Here is a 17,018-nt window from a genome sequence, read left to right as displayed (position 1 = left end):
GCCAGGCTGCTCAGGCTGATCTCAAACTCTTGGGCTCAAGTGGTCTGCCCGCCTTGGCCTCCCAAAGTGTTGGAATTATAGATGTGAGCCATCATGCCAGCCCCTCCCTCAACTTTTTTTTTTTTTTTATTTGAGACGGGGGGCTGGGTGCGGTGGCTCACGCCTGTAATCCCAGCACTTTGGGAGGCCGAGGCAGGTGGATCACTTGAGGTCAGGAGTTCGAGACCAGCCTGGCCAACATGGTGAAACTCTGTCTCTACTAAAAAATACGAAAATTACCTGAGCATGGTGGCACATGCCTGTAATCCCAGCTACTCGGGAGGCTGAGGCAGGAGAATCGCTTGAACCTGGGAAGCAGAGGTTGCAGTGAGCCAAGATTGTGCCACTGCACTCTAGGCTGGCCAACAAGAGCGAAACTGCATCTCCCCCGCCAAAAAAAATAAAATAAAATAAGAGACAGGGTCAGCTGGGCATGGTGGCTCACGCTTGCAGTCCCAGGACTTTGGAGGCTGAGGCAGGCAGATCGGTTGAGCCCAGGAGTGTGAGATCAGCCTGGGCAACATAGTGAGACCCCATCTCTATACAAAGAATAATTTTTTTAAAAGAGACAGAGACAGGGTCTTGTGCTGTTGCCTAGACTGGAGTGTAGTGGCATGATCATAGCTTACTGCAGCCTCAAACTCCTGAACTCAAGTGATCCTCCCACCTCAGCCTCCACAGTAGCTAGGACTACAGGTGCATGCCATCATGCCAAGCTAATTTTTAAATTTTTTTGTAGAGATGGGGTCATGTGAGGTTACCCAGGCTGGTCATGAACTCCTGGCCTTGAGTAGTTCTCCTGTCTCAGCCTCCCAAAGTGCTAGGATTATAGGCATGAGCCACCACGCCTGGTCCATATGCAAATTTTTGAGCCAGGTTGTGACAGGATTGGAGAATTTTTTTTTTTTTTTGGTGTCAGTATGTAAGGTTTGTTGGAAGAGGGGGCTTATGAACTGGAAGACAATATAGGAGTAATCTGGTGGAAGATCAGAATTTCTGACTTGGGGCATGGTAATAAGAATGGAAAAGTACAGTGGGATTTGAGAGGAGATATATTTCACAAGGTTCTGTTTTCCTGGTGCGAAATTGATGCTGAAGGAGCAGTGTTGGGGATTTTACTGGTTACATTTCTAATATTTGAAATAACCGAAGGAATTTCATCAGGTTAGGTTGTCCATTTCTGCACTTTGACGCCTAAAGTTTCTGTGGACATATAATCACACCAGTCTTTCTTTGTTTGAAAAATAGTCATTTGGTAGACTAATCTTAATCTTTGTTATTTTGTTTGAACTAGTATTCTTCCTAGAAGGGTAGTTTACTAGTGTTTTTACTGAAATATTTGTAACATGCTGTAGTAGATAAAATTTAATTATAATTTAAATAATTACATTGTTGCAAACATTTATGGATCTTTTTTTTTTTAGTTAAAAATTCTTATTATCCACGAAAGTATGATGCAAAATTCACAGACTTCAGCTTACCTCCCAGTAGAAAACAGAAAAAAAAGGTATTTGAAAGATGTTCTTGAATTTGACCCCTTGGTCCCTATGTTACTGTTTCATATCTTGCATTTCTGTCATAACTGTCTTCAGTGTTTTGCTTCCATTATTGACACAGTGGAGCCTTGCTATAAAAAGGAATTTTATGGTTAAACATGAATATAGCAAATTGGGATTCAAAAATAATACATAACTAAATTTTTGTTTCTTTTCTGTGGTTTTAGAAATAGATATATATTTGATACTTTTATTTTACCTTATTTTTTTTTAGATGGAGTTTCACTCTGTCGCCCAGGCTGGAGTGCAGTGGTACGATCTTGGCTCACTGCAACCTCCGCCTCCTGGGTTCAAGCAATTCTCCTGCCTCAGCCTCCCAGAGTAGCTGGGACTGCAGGTGCGCACCACCACACCTGGCTAATTTTTGTAGTTTTAGTAGAGTTGGGGTTTTACTGTGTTGGCCAGGCTGGTCTCGAACTCCTGACCTCAAGTGACCCGCCCACCTCCGCCTCCCAAAGTGCTGGGATTAAGGCGTGAGCCACCATGCCTGGCCATATAGTTGATACTTGAACAACGCAACAGTTAGAGGTGCAGTCAGAAGTTTGTGTGTAACTTTTGACTCCTCTAAAACTTAACTACTAATGGTCTACTATTGACTGGAAGTCTTACCAATAACATAAATAGTCGGTTAGTATAGAAATGAAATGGTGTCCACATATATTTTATACCTTCTTGACATACTTTTTTTTTTGATATTTCTAAGGCTATGTGGTTTATCTGTGAGTTTTTCCAAATTGTCACAAATCTCCAAAAAAATTTTCCAATATATTTACTGAAAAAAATCCTTTTATAAGTGGACCCTTGCAGTTCAAACCTGTGTTGTTCAAGGGTCAGCTGTAGTTATTTTTTTCTAAAAGATGAGCTGCTGTTTTTATTCTATTTATTTTCAGATCATTTCAACATATTCTGTACTGAGTCTTAATTAGATAACCAATTTGCAATCTGCTCATAATTTATATTAGCACTATTTGGATTAAAAAAGTTTAAAATTATGCCTGGGTTTCACTAATATATTTGTTAAAAACAAAATGAAAGAAAGAAATAGAATAATCTCTTCATTGGAAATATACTCACAAGCTTCTCCCACACGAAAGGGTTATTGGAAACATCAAAGTGTGTATTACTAGAATGATAGTTATGTTTTTATTATTGATTACAGATTTTTCACCAAAAGCCTAATTCCTCTCTGTTTTTGTTTGCAGAAAAGAAAGGAACCAGTTTTTCACTTTTTTTGTGATACCTGTGATCGTGGTTTTAAAAATCAAGAAAAGTATGACAAACACATGTCTGAACATACAAAAGTAGGTTTTCTTAGTTGTCCTGAAACTGATGTAGCAATTGTGCTTCTTCTATCTGTATATTTGGTAGAAATGCCAAGCTTGTTTTCCTTTAAAGTTTATAGTTTCTGTAGAGATATAGTTTGACAACTTGACAGATAGGGGCAGTGACCCTGGGGTTTGAAAGTGGGGATCCCGCTGCTTCAGGGACGAGGTAAGATGGTAGCAAAGAAGGGAGCTCTGACAGCTTTTTGTATGTGTGTACCTCTACTGCTTGGGAAGAGGCTGTCCTCTCCTCTAGTTACCTTGTGCATCTTAATGAGTTCTTTCCCCTTTAAGTCTGCCCTTGACCATTAAACCATACTGTGTAATGTGGCTGTGCCTATCACCCTCAAAGGCTGGTCCACACCTTGTCAGGTACTAGCTAGAAAACTTTAACCAAAATGTTTAAAAGGTTTAAAAGGAAGCCTTTGGTTTTGAAAGGTTCTTTTTCTGTTTTTGGGAATGCCCCTCAACTTTAGGAATTAAGAGCATTTCACAGGTTTATTGATGTATGCCTTTGCTCAAATGGAGAAGTAAATAAGATATATTATTGTGCCACATACTCTGAGAGTGTCATTCCTTTGCCTAAAGGCAGCCCTGTTTTGGAGTCATTTTTGTATGCAGAGATAATACTATACAGATGGGATAACTATGTAATACAGCCAGAATATGTCTGTGTATGTATAGTGGGGTAAATTTAACATGGAAAACATTTGTTAAATAGTTTTTTTTTTCTTTTAAAAACTCATAGTGCCCTGAATTAGATTGCTCTTTTACTGCACACGAGAAGATTGTCCAGTTCCATTGGAGAAATGTAAGTTCTGTTTTTTTATCCTATTTTTAAATACATGCTCTTTTTATTGATCTGTTATCTTCACAACTGTTTATTTATATACCTAATAATAGGTAACACTAATGGAGTACTTTGTAAGGATTTTGACATCATTTATTCAACTTTTTCCTCACAAACAACTATGGTTGTTTATATTGGCCCCATTTAAAATATTTTAAAAAATGAATTGCCCAAGGCCTGAGAATTGATTCTTGGACCTCAGTTTCTTGACTCCAAATTGTATACTGCTTTACTACACCATGCTGCTACAGATTGTCACGTCTACTCATATCTTTAGTGGCCTCTCTAGGTTTTGATTGGTAAGTCATTCATTTGGGTGTTTAATGTCATTTGAGAGAATGGGTGGCATATCTACTTTGTAATCAAAATTATGTTACCCCTTTTCCCTCTATTAATAGCACTAATTAAATACATGATAGATTCTTCTTCCTTTAAAGGAAAAGTTATAACACAAATAGATACAACCTGCTTACTTGGTTTTAAAATTGTGTCCAACATAAGTTTACTTGTAGAAACAAAGTCTCCAAGTTAGTCAAAAGCATATGATATTGCCTCCTGATGTTCAGCAGGCTTTTTCCCCCTAGATGCATGCTCCTGGCATGAAGAAGATCAAGTTAGACACTCCAGAGGAAATTGCACGGTGGAGGGAAGAAAGAAGGAAGTGAGTAGAGTTCAGAACTGGTGAAATAACTGTTTTACTGTGACAAGGCTTATTAATGTAGTTAAATTCATTGAATTCCCTTAGAATGTTGGAACTAGGGAAGAGGACCATAAGGCATATTATGTAAGACTATTATTGAACGTAGTTTTAGGAAGACCTAATAAGAACTCTTCATTTAAGTAGCAAATGTGTCATAATGGGACTGTATGTTGCTCTTTGAGGGGGGCTACTGCATGTCACCTGTCAGATGTTCAGTGGTTGAGGCAATAATGGGTGGGTACTCTTACCAAAAAGTGTATTATACAGAAGTGTATTATCACAGAACAGTACATCTGGCACATGACTACCCATGTCAGTGGATTTAAACTGAAACCTTAAACTAAGGTGAGCTAAGTACAAATGTAACCTGCTGCTCAAAGGAGTTTGAAGTATCTTTCTTGATCTTTAAGGATAGTTCTTCTTGTTTTCATCCCAGGCTTACCGCTAAATAAGATGCACAGGTGCTAAGGATAAGAGATACAGGTGCTTGTTCTTAACAATGAGAAGATCAGGAATTCATTCCTATGATTAAAGAAATTTGAGCATCACCATGTAACCTGTGGTTTTACACTTACTAAGGAAGAAAGTTTAGTTGATGTCTAGCTGTAATATACTTGAAATTCCACTAGGGCACTGTTATACTGCCTTCTCAGAAAATACTAGAACACTTCATCCTGAAGCAGAAGACTATGCAGAACTACTGTAATGATCAGTTGCACTTTTAAAGTCAACTGCTCTTTTCCTGGAATTAAAAAATGAAGAGAGCCTGGGATGAAAACAAGAAGAACTATCCTTAAAGGGCAAGAAAGATACTTCAGACTCTTATGAGCAGCAGGTTACATTTGTACTTGGCTCGCCTTAGTTTAAGGTTCACTTTAAATCCACTGTCGTGGGTGGTGATGTGCCAGATGTACTCTTCTGTGAAAAAGTTAGATGCTGCCCTTTAAGGCTTTAGAGGTAATTCTGAGGAAGACCAGCAGAAGCACGAAGATTCAGAACTGAGAATAAATATAATTCAACGAAAGTGTATCAGGTATTAATACTGTGTACAAAGGAAAGAGTTGGATAAGGGTGAAGGGACAGTTAGAGGAATTCAATTTTTTTTTGAGTCAGAGTCTCTGTCACTGAGGCTGGAGTGCAGTGGCGCAATCTCAGCCCACTGCAACCTCCACCTGCTGGTTTCAAGTGATTCTCCTGCCTCAGTCTCCCAAGTAGCTGGGATAACAGGCGTGCACCCCCACACCTGGCTAGTTTTTGTATTTTTAGTGGAGATGGGGTTTCGCCATGTTGGCCAGGCTGGTCTCGAACTTCTGACCTCAAGTGATCTACCTGTCTCAGCCTCCCAAAGTGCTGGGATTACAGGCATGAGCCACCACACCCAGCTGAGGAATTCAATTTTTAAACAAGTCAGGTCCAACCAGTCAACGGGACTTGGTGGACATAATATAGCATTTCAAGAGCATCTGTGGCTAGCAAATGAAGGAATCTAGGCCACCTGTAGTAGAGTATATTAGAATACCTTTTTCTTTGATCTCTTTGGCAAAATCTTACTTATCGTGTAGGCTTGTTTTAAAGGTTGCCTGACTTACTACTCTCTCCTTACTTTTCACCACCTCTATGTCAGTGCTACCAGAGTGCCAGTCTGTAACAAAAGAGCTTGTACCAGAATGTAAATCAGTATATTACTTCCTTTGTTGATAAGAAAAAAATGAAAAAATACCAGCTGAACTAAATATCATGCTTAGTGACGTAGTTGATTTCTACTCTGGTGTGTGTGGATTGGCTGGTTGCCAGTCCCTGAAACACACTACCCTAAAGCATTATTTACTACCTCCTTTGCAAATACATAGCTTATTTATACAACCATAGTACATTTGTCACATTACATTGTAGTTGGCCCTGGTCTTATACATCTTTAATTCTGCTGTGCTTTGCACAGTGCCTAGAATTTAGTATGTGAGAAATACATATTTGTTGACTGAAGTACTTAAACAGTGTAGTGTGGGAATACTTAACCTTGGCAGTGATAAGGGAGCCTTAGCCAATTGCAAGGTCAAACTTAGAAGTTGAAGGAGTGTGGACCATGCTGTGGTTTAAATGTGTCCCCCAAAAGTTCATTTGTTGGAAACTTGGTCCCCAGTGTGGCAGTGTTGAGAGGTGGGAACCTTTGGGAGGTGATGGGTCATGAAGGCAGAACCCTCATAAATGGATTAATTCATTCATGGATTGGTGGATTAATGGATTAAAGGAGTAGTGAATTGTCAAGGGAGTGGGCTTGTTATCATCAGAGTGAGTCAATTATAAAGATCAATTTGCCTGTCTCCTGTGAGCCCCCTTGCCCCTCTGCTGCCTTGGGCCTCTGCAGAGAGTTCCCACCCAGCCACCAAAACTGTAAGAAATAAACTTCTTTTCTTTATAAATTATCCAATCTTATGATGTATTCAGTTATAGCAACATAAAATGGACTGAGACCATGAAGTAGTTTGACATAGGAATTTTGAAGCACGGTATCTGAAGTTCCTTGGCTTCTGTAGGTAGCTTCTTTATAGATACAAGGTTTTCTCCTCATGACACCACTCCCCAAGTAGCTGGACTTTTTAAAAAATGTTTTGTTTGTTCTGCTTGTTTCTTTTCTATCTATTGGTTGTTTCTTCTTCCTCCTCCTCTTGTTGTTGTTATTCTTCTTTTTCTTCTTCCTCTTCCTCCTCTTCCTCTTCCTCCTCCTCCTCTTCTCTTCTTCCTCTTCCTTCTCCTCCTCCTCCTCACCTTCACCTTCGCCTCCTCCTCCTCCTCCTTTCTCCTTTCTTCTTCTCCTTCCTCCTTTCTTCTCCTCCTCCTTTCTTCTCCTTCTCCTTCCTTCCTTCTTCTTTCATTTTTTGCATAGAGCAGTAATCAAACAAGAAGTTAACTCCACTTCGTTTCTGATATGTACATTATAAAGAGCTGATGACGATGGTATGGAAGATTGTATCCTGCTGGATGGGATGGAAGTGGCCTAACTGCTAAGACACTAGGTTTTTTCCCCCTACTACTTAGCCTGGACTTTGATCAGTTAGAGGTTGGTTCAACTTATTGGTGTCAGTCCCTTTTATAAATGTTTAATTCTCTTGAGGGGAATGGTAGCGGTTACTAGTCAGCATTGATTGTAAAGCAACTTAAAAGTTATCTAACTAAACAGTTAAATTTCTGAAGCTTTGAGTTTACTGAAGGGTATAAGGAAGGTCTGAAGTGACTTCCTGATTTGCCAACTTCGGTTCTTCTATCTTGTGGTGGTATAAATTAAATAATTTAAACTGGGAAATGTGGAACTGCTATTAAATTAATGGTAACCAACTTTACTCTTTTCTACGATGTCTATAGCACTTTCACTCTCCCACTATCCTCTGCTATTCCCTTGCTCAGCATATAAGAGGAAGGGGACTTCATCTAGTCTGGAAGATTAGGGTGTTTCATGACAAAGGCAGGGGTAGCTGAATTCAGAACTAACTAGGAAAAGATAAGGAGAGGCAGGGATTAGTGGTCAGACAGAGGTTAGCATGTTCAAGGAACTGTGAGTATAGGTAAGAGAAAATAGAAGCTTTACAAAGATGGCAGTTGTGGGGATGGAGAGAACTAGGTGGATGTAGAACATTTGGGAGGTGAAAATGGGCAGTGTTTGGGGATTAAATGATTGTGAGGTTGAAGAGGAGAGAGGTTTTAGGAGACTTCCAGGTTTCTAGGCTTAGCACCTCTATGAAAGGTGGTTCTTATTACTGAGGTGGGGAACACTGGAAGAGGATGGGCTTTGGAGGTATTGGGTTGGACATTGTTGAGTCTGAGGAGATCCTGAGGCATCTATTTGAAGATGTTGAGTAGGCATTGGGACTTGGACCAGACTAGACTGGAGATAGTTTTTTGAGTCATGAAACTGGGAATATGGAACAGATTCCCCACAGAGACAGGGTAGAGTGAAAAGAGAAGGTAGCCTAATATTGAACCTTGAGCCCTTCCAACATCCGAAGGTCTAATAGAGAATAAAATCCAACAAGCCTGCTGAGTGGGAACCAGAGAGGTAGAAGAAAACTTCCTCTGGAAGCCAGTGGAGGGGAAAATTTTGAGAAGGAAGATATGGTTAGCAGTGCAGATTGCGATGGAAAGGTCAAATAAAACAAAAACTAAAAGTGACTGATGTTGAGACATACACAGGGCCTCCTTGATGAGGATTCCAGATGATTACTCCTTGGCCTTTCTCCTTTGAGCTCTGTGCCATCTGTCTTCAAGTCTCACACCCTCCCCAGGGATTGATTGCCTTTGTCACTCGCCCTTGGCATGTTAGATGCTGCAGTGGAATTGTGTATATTTTGAATTCATTCAGTACCTTTTCACTTTCAGATTTCTAACGGCCAAGCCTGAGCAACCAAGTGATACCCTTGGTATCTACAAAAATAAAAAGTTAGCCAGGTGCAGCGGTGGGCACTTGTAGTCCAAGCCTCTCAGGAGACCGAGGCAGGAAGATCCCTTGAGCCCAGGAGTTTGAGGTTGCAGTGGGCTGTGATTACGCCACTGCGCTGCAGCTTGGGTAACAGAGCGAAACCTTGTCTCAAAAAAACAAAACAAAACAAATTTCCAGTGCCCTTCACCTTCATGCAGTTTCAGCCACTTACTTTCATGACCACATCCTGGATTCTAAAGTTGGACATACTCCTCTTTCCATCCGTCCAGCTCACTGTGATCTCTACCAGGGCTTGGAATAGTTGAGGCTTCCCATCCTCTTTACCTTGTTTTTCTTTTATCTTCCTTCTTCCTTCACTTCCTACCCAGCCTATTTCACTTCGGCTGCTCTTGTCGATATCTCAGCTTCCTTCTTCCATTATCCTCCATTGCACTCATCTGGCAAAATCCCAGCTCTGGCTCAGTTGCTACATCCTGTTCAAGAAAACCACACAATTGAAATGTAGTCTGCAAGTGAACACTTGGGCAGTGCTATCTGACTTAAGGAGTTGACTTGACCAAAGAGAAGTTTAGGGTATTTTCTTTGTATTTGTTGTTTTGTGGTGCAAAATTAGATGTTCAATATGCATATGTTTCTTAGTTATGTAGATGACTGTGTAGTGTAAAATTTAAAAGTTTGTTAAACTGATTTTATTTTTAATCAGCTGAAATGCCTATGAGAATAAAACTCCATAGAACTGGAAACCAGAATCCTATAATGTGGGCTTAACTTGTCTTTTCTGATTATTTCCATATTATTTGCTTATAGGGGCTTTTTGTCTCAGTCAAACTTGTTATTTATCATATCTCATACAGGGTTTGTGAACTTTCGCCCTTTTAGTTTTGTTCGTGCTGCTGCTTCTAGAAGATCTTACCTACTCCATCTTTAAAGTTCTGCTCATTGCTCTTAGCTCATCTGAAATCCATCCACTTTTGGGTATATTTTTTCTCATCTGCCTAGAGAAATGTCTTGCCCTTCTTTGAATATGGTATCTCCTTTCTGCCTCTTTAGCACAGATATCCTTTATTATGACCCTGTTGGTGAACTTCTTTGCATATGTGTCTTTTATTCTTGAATTAAGTGTGAGCTCTGAAATGTAAGAACCAACTTTTACCTGGCTGCTTCTATCCCATAGTGCCATAGTTATAGGGAATGCTTATAAATGTTAGTGTGTGTAAATGGTGCTTGAAGATATTTTTCTTATGGGTATAATTCTGTTTTGGTACACACAAGTAAGTGGTTGGAGAAGTCTTACTGAGACTTGTATTTATAAATCATGTTTGAGCTGTATCTTTGTTGTTTTTAGAGAAATTGGGCAGAAATATTTTGATATGATTAATAATTATGCTTGGAAATTATAGTGTAACTAATAGTACTTAAACTGCTGTGGTTTTGAACATTAAATTCTCACTACATAGGGTAGGGTAGACCATCACTGGGACAAACCAAATTCATCCGTATTTTAAAGTATTAATGGCTTTTCCCTACACGAATGTGAACTATGCCCCCTTGTGGTTTCGTGAATAAATGATTAAAGGAAAAAATTTCCACTGGCTAGAGAAACTTTGGAAACATTAATATTTGAAGATGAAAACTAGCATAGGCAGCATGTATTTATTTAAAGTTCCTGATAGAAGACTAGTTTGATTTTCTAATGTTAGCAAGAAATCTCAGCAACCTTTGAATATATGTTAACAGACATTTTGCTTATCTTTGCATAACTTCTTGACAATAGTTTAGTTTGAAAATTAGAGGTAAACATTCAGTATTTGAAAGGACAAAGATTTTGCTATATGTGGCTGAGTTCACCAAAACAAACACTAGTAACTTCTTGCCTTTAAGGTTCTCACTGTAGTGTGAAATGAATAAATACACATGAGGTGGCCATAAGACTACAAGTAACTGAAGCATTAATTTTAGCTATGTAGGGATAATCCTGACTGGTCAAGGGATATTTGAGTTTTTGGAGGGGAGGGCCGTCTATTTGTTTTTCAAGACTTCCTATAAGAGGCCTCCCTCCCCCAGTTTATCTTAATGTATATTGTACATATAGTGAAATTCACCCTTTTTAGTGGATAGTTCTGACAAATATATACTGTCATATAAATACCACCAGAATCAAGATATAGAACAGTGTTTCTTCACCTGGAAAAATTGCCTTATGCCCTGATGGCAGCCTCCCCTCCACCCACTGGCAACCACTGATTTATTTTTTGTTCTTATATTCATACTTTTGCAGCAACATCATATAAATGGAATCATACAGTATGTGGCCTTTTTAGTCTGACTCACTTATTTTTAGTCTGCATTTGAAAGTTATCCATGTTGTTGCATGTAGCAGTTGTTTGTTTTTTATTGCCGAGTATTACTCTTTTCCATAGTATGGATGTATATCAGTTTGTTTATCCGTTCTCAGTTGAGTGTTGTTTCCAGTATTTAGCCTTTATATAAAGTCTTCATAAACATTCACGTATAGGTTTTTGTTTTGAATATAGGGTTTTATTTGACTTGGATAAATATCCAGGAGTGAGATTGGTTGGTCATGTGGTAAGCATATGTTTAACTTTATGAGAAACTGCCAAACTGTGTAGGAGGATAGTTTTAAATCAAGATAAGCCTATTTGAGCATGGAAAGTATTCAGATAAAAGGAGATGGTAGGGTGCAGTGGTGCTTGCATTAGCTAGTCATGCTCTAGGAAATGGAATGGCAACCTTACTACCATGGCTTAGTGCAAAGAGGTGTCATTTTCCCAAGGTTAAAAAAAAAATAAATCCAGGGCTGCTGTTGCTGCATGACAGTACCATGGACGTAGGCTGTCTCTTGTTGCACCGGAGTAGGCGGCTCTCCTCTTGCCTGTCACCAGAATGTTCTTGCATATGCAAATATTAAGCCACAGAATAGGCAGAAAGAAGAGAAAAAGACAAAAGGTACACGTAGCCTAGTTTCCCCCCTTTTCACTGGGAAAACAGTAGCTTTGTTTTTATTTCCAACCAGGAGATAATTTATATAGATCTCATTGGCTAGAAGTGGGCTGCTTGACCACCTTCAGTGGCAGTGGAGTTGATGGGATGCCTGAAACAAAATTGTTAAGGAATGGGGGAGAATAGTCAGTGTTTGCTTTAGTTCTTGGTGGCACAGTGGAATTTCAAAACTATAAGTGAATTTTGGAAGCGGCTCTGTCCTTCTGAATAAAGGATTGGTTTGAGCAAGCATTTAATAGGCTTGCTGGTGGCTCTTTTTATGTAGGACAGGTGGGGGCTGAGGGGATAGAGTCTAGCTCTGGTTTCCAGAGGTATGCTATGACAGCAGGCAGAAGTGCCTTGGAAGAGGAATGGGCAAAATCTGTTGAGGGAATAAGTGAGGTTATAGGTTTGTGAAATTTAGAGGTGTTTAAAGAGAATGAGGAAATGGGGTGAAGATGGCAATTTTGGATGAAGTTTATTTATACCTGTGATGTTGCTTTGTTTAGTAAGTGCTCTGAAAATTCTTTGGGCACTGGGTGAGTTCATCTGAGGTTCTTCCATAGTTTGTTTCTCAGGTTCTTGCTCTTTAATATATTCTGAAGAGTTCATATATATTTTTTCTGTATGTATATTTTATTAGAGGATATGGGAAATACTGCTTTTCTTTTGGTATGTTTGATAGATTTCTCAAAAATGCATAAATACTATCCCCACTAGCAATTTTTTAAAAACCTATTATGGGCCGGGCGTGGTGGCTCACACCTGTAATCCCAGCCCTTTGGGAGGCCAAGGCAGGCAGATCACTTGGGGTCAGGAGTTTGAGACCAGCCTGGCCAACATGGCGAAACCCTATCTCTACTAAAAATAAAAAAAATTAGCTGGGCATCGTGGCACGCACCTGTAATCCCAGATACTTGGGAGGCTGAGGCAGGAGAATTGCTTGAACCCAGAAGGCAGAGACTGCAGTGAGCCAAGGTCGTGCCACTGTACTCCAGCCTGGGCAACAGAGTGAGACTGTCTCAATAAAAAAACAACAAACAAAAAAACCCTGTTACAAAAATATACTTACTTTCTACATTCCTGTCATTCTCAATTTTTAAAAAATATTACTTGAACTCCTAAAAAGAGTAAGTTCCACATTGGTGTGGCAGAATAGTCCTTATTTCATGAATTTGATCTTTGTGTGAGAGCTACATTCTTTCCGATGAAGCCACTATATTCTTTGACATGCAGGAAAAATAAGGTCTTTATGTAGTTGCTCTGTTAGGAAAAGCTTGTGAAAGATTTCACAGAGTAAGAATTTTAAAGCTTAAAGAAAACTGAAGGTTTGCTTGGCATATGGCTTCCTTATCTTTGACAAAAGTACATCTTTGTCCTTACTTCTACATCTCTGTATTTTTCAGGTTAGTCAGACTCAGGGGTACCGAGTGTATTTAATTTAATAACTTTTAAGGCTTTCCATTAATAGCCTTTCCCCTACCTCCCCAAAAAAGCCACCAAAAAAAGTTATTCTTTCTTAATTCCTGTCCTATGTAGTACCAATGCTGTATGATTTGGCTTTAGGGAAAATGAGTGGTAGAGGTTTGTTTCCAAAACCTTGCTTTTATTATAGAAACAGTGGAACATTTTTCACAGCAGACTGGGAGTCCACTAGGTGGAGTAGTTTTACAATTTATTTCAACGCTTACTGTGGCTCTGAGGAAATCCTTTTGTTTCCCTGGTTCATGCAGAATTCCAACACAGGAGATCTGCTCTAAAGAATGCTGTATCTTTTTGATGTTCAGAAAGAAAAGTACAATAGTGTAGCTTGTGTGGAAGCAGTTGTGGTTTAATGAGAGTGGGAAGAGTAACTATGTTTTATAGAACAGGCAGAGGGGAAAAGCCAATAAATGGGTCGTGATTTGAGCATAAGGAAAAAATTGGAGAGAATAATGTGACCAGAATGGTCTGTGCTAAGATAATGGTTAGGACGGTTTGCCCATGTGTTGGCTCTGTAGTGCTTAAAGATTGTCACTGGAGGCATAAGGTATAGGCAATGAGGAAGGTGAAGAAGAGGTAAAAAATGAAAGAAGAGAGGAAGGAAAAGAGCATAGTTTCAGGACCATTTCCTCTTAGTGAACTGAGGAAAGATAGAAGTACAGGGAGAAAATGATTTTAGTAGATAAAAATATAGAAAAACCAACTGTGAAAATTTCCCTTGTCACGGTCTTTATAACTTCATATTATCCATTCTCTAACAGGAGATATTGGACTAAGCTTTACATGTATGTAACTGCAATGTAAGACATAATTTATGTTTTTTCAATAGTCTTTGGATTTGTTATTTCTTGTACTTTAGGAACCTGAACTCCTTCATCAGAACTCCTTTTTTTTCGTTATTCATTTATCTCAGCTTCATGTTGGTGGAGTGGGGCTTCCTACTGTTGTTTATGTGTGTAATTAGGTCTTGTGTTTCTGATTTTTCTTTTTTGCGATAATGTGCTTTTTAGCAACCATTTTTCTCTCTAGTTTTAAATATCTGGATTCTGTGTAAATAAGAATGTAATAAATTTTGGAAGAGGATTTTATTGATTTCAGCACCAAGAAAAATAAAATCTTACAACTTTTTAAAACTCTAATCTTACTTTTAGGAACATGATACTTAATTTTAGGAAGACAAGTTTCCTTACCTTTAGGAACATGATATTTAATTTTAGGAAGTTAAGTTTCTTTACCTTTAGGAACATGATACTGCAGTCTGCCTGAAAGAGAAAATTAGCTGTTTTAAAAGGCTTCCATCAAAGGAGTTTCTACACATCACATCTTTGATGTTTCACTTAGGGAACTCTTTCTTATATCTTACCTAAAATCCACTTGCTATAACAAGTTTAAATTCTTTACCAATGAAAAGCAGTTACCTAGCATCTGCTCTCTGGTACGTAGTACACTGTAGTGCCAAATTTTATCATGTAACATATAGCCCAACATGGTAAGAGTCTGCAATACTCTGCAAAAATGTTGAAGAAACTTAAGTAATAAGTAAATTTGAGAATTGTGGAGGGTGTTGAGTAGCTGTGAGTTACATGTCTCGCCACTGTGAGGCCTGTAAAAATCATTACTGTTTTTCTCATTTCTACTTCTGCATATTCTCTTCAGTTTGAGAACAACTGGACCATCCTCTCTGTAAAACTATTTTTATTGTCGCTTCTCATCTTCTTTTAAAGGTTGCAAATAGTTCCTTTCATCTTTCTTTGGAGGTTTTATTTTTCATCCTATTAATCATCTTTGAGTCTCTTCTGAATCCCTTCCAAGTCTTTTTTTTTTTTTTTTCTTCTCAGTGTTCCTTTAGTTTAGAAGTACAGAACTGGACACAGTGCCCTGAGATTATCTGACTGCTTTTGAGTATCCTGGAGGAAGATTTCACACTCGTACAAGTGCCAGAGTCTACTTCTTATAACCTTAGATTATGTTTGCTTTCGAAAAATGTAGTCATGTATTGCTGACTGTCAGATTTTTATCTCCTATGACCTTGATCTTTTCCTTTTATGTTTATTTATAGTTTGTACATTAATCATCTTTTTTTATGGAGTCTATTTTTCTTGACTGGATATATATTGCTTCACACTGTCCTCATTGAAATTCATTACATTTTTTTTCTGATTACTTAACCACTTACCCAATGTCATTTCCATTCCTGTCTTTCAGTATGGCCCACCCATAGGCTTTATATATTGTCTGTGCTATTCAAGTCAGTGTTGCAAATGTTAAAAAAAAAAAGGCAGAAGGTAGAGAAGTGTCCTAGAAGCAATGGCAGAACACATTTGTTGATGTTTCTCCAAACTTACTCTGATCAGCAGCCAGACGGGGTAGTAGAGAGCTGTGTTCCCTTCCTTCTATGTTTTTTATACTCCTAGAATCTATTGCCCTCTTCCTGAAAGTTTGGTGTCTGCATCTCCACACAGCTGTGCAGAGAAACAAAGAAAGCAGTTCATCTGGCACACTTCTGTCAGATTTCATCTTAATCACTGCTTTGTACATATCTCTCCCTGTTCATAACTTTCTGTGGCTCTCTATCACCTGCTGAATTAAATATAAACTTTCTAGTTTGGTATTCAAGACACATTTTGGCCTGAGTCTCCCTTTCCAGTCTGATTGCCTGTAACTGTGTTTCATACCATATTAACTACTTGTCATTGTCCAGATATCTCTTTCACTTTTTTTTTTTCTGTGAGACAGAGTCTTTCTGTGTCGCCCAGGCTGAAGTGCAGTGGCGTGATCTCAGCTCACTGCAACCTCCACCTCCTGGGTTCAAGCAATTCTCTTGTCTCAGCCTCCTGAGTAGCTGGGATTACAGGCATCCGCCACCATGCCCAGCTAATTTTTTTTATTTTTAATAGGATGGGGTTTCACTGTGTTGGCCAGGCTGGTCTCGAACTCCTGACCTCCCAAAGTGCTGGGATTACAGACGTGAGCCACCACACCCGGCCTCTTTCACTTTCTGAAGTCTTGGTTTGTTTGCATTGTTTGGCCTACTTAACATACTCTGATTTCTGTTACCATTTAAGACCAATTTCTTTCATTTCTTTTCTTTATGGATTTTTCCAATTAGATATAGTCTTTCCATTCCACCCCTACCCCCCAGTCTTTATACCCTCTTGGGTACTTTTGTCTTATGTTATCACTATTTGTGTGCTTTTCTTATCTTCCTGGTAGACAGTATATTTTTTATTTTATTTTATTTATTTATTTATTTATTTATGTTTTGAGGGGGAGTCTTGCTCTGTCACCTAGGCTGGAGTGCAGCGGCACGATCTCAGGTCACTGCAACCTCCACCTCCTGGTTTCAAGAGATTCTCCTGCCTCAGCCTCCCGAGTAGCTGGGATTACAGGCGCCCGCCACCACACTTGGCTAATTTTTGTATTTTAGTAGAGATGGTATTTCACTACGTAGGTCAAGCTGGTCTCGAACTCCTGACCTCAAATGATCCGCCCACCTCAACCTCCCAAAATGCTGGGATTACAGGCATGAGCCACCGTGTATATTTTTTGAGAACTGTCTCCTCCTCGTCTTGGTAACTTCGATATACCTAGCATGTATTTGCATAAGAAATTGGATAGACTTGGCCGGGCGTGATGG

The 17,018-nt window shown here is 39.1% G+C and overlaps 1 protein-coding gene across 2 annotated transcripts in view, besides 1 other annotated feature; it reads left to right on the top strand.

Annotated features, from left to right (window-relative positions):
• Positions 1-17,018, top strand: part of NUFIP1 (nuclear FMR1 interacting protein 1) — a 50,223-nt gene that overhangs the window by 5,854 nt on the left and 27,351 nt on the right. For both annotated transcript variants that reach the window (XR_941559.3, NM_012345.3), the window contains exons 2-5: positions 1,464-1,546; positions 2,798-2,896; positions 3,666-3,728; positions 4,352-4,428. Coding sequence is in view for 1 of the 2 variants with exons in the window: in NM_012345.3 (NP_036477.2) it covers positions 1,464-1,546; positions 2,798-2,896; positions 3,666-3,728; positions 4,352-4,428 (322 nt within the window). In the remaining variant the exon portion in view is untranslated. The remainder of the gene's footprint in view (positions 1-1,463; positions 1,547-2,797; positions 2,897-3,665; positions 3,729-4,351; positions 4,429-17,018) is intronic.
• Positions 10,190-10,484: a silencer, noted in NCBI's record as "tiled region #6953; HepG2 Repressive non-DNase unmatched - State 8:EnhW". NCBI's record gives its function as "represses a minimal TATA promoter and a strong SV40 promoter by Sharpr-MPRA in HepG2 cells {active_cell/tissue: HepG2}" and the evidence as "EXISTENCE:reporter gene assay evidence [ECO:0000049][PMID:27701403]".

The sequence above is a fragment of the Homo sapiens genome, chromosome 13 (genome assembly GCF_000001405.40).
Source record: "Homo sapiens chromosome 13, GRCh38.p14 Primary Assembly".
Lineage (NCBI taxonomy): Eukaryota > Metazoa > Chordata > Mammalia > Primates > Hominidae > Homo > Homo sapiens.
The sequence above is the reverse complement of the archived record's forward strand: the minus strand, read 5'-3'. Positions and strand labels throughout refer to the sequence as shown.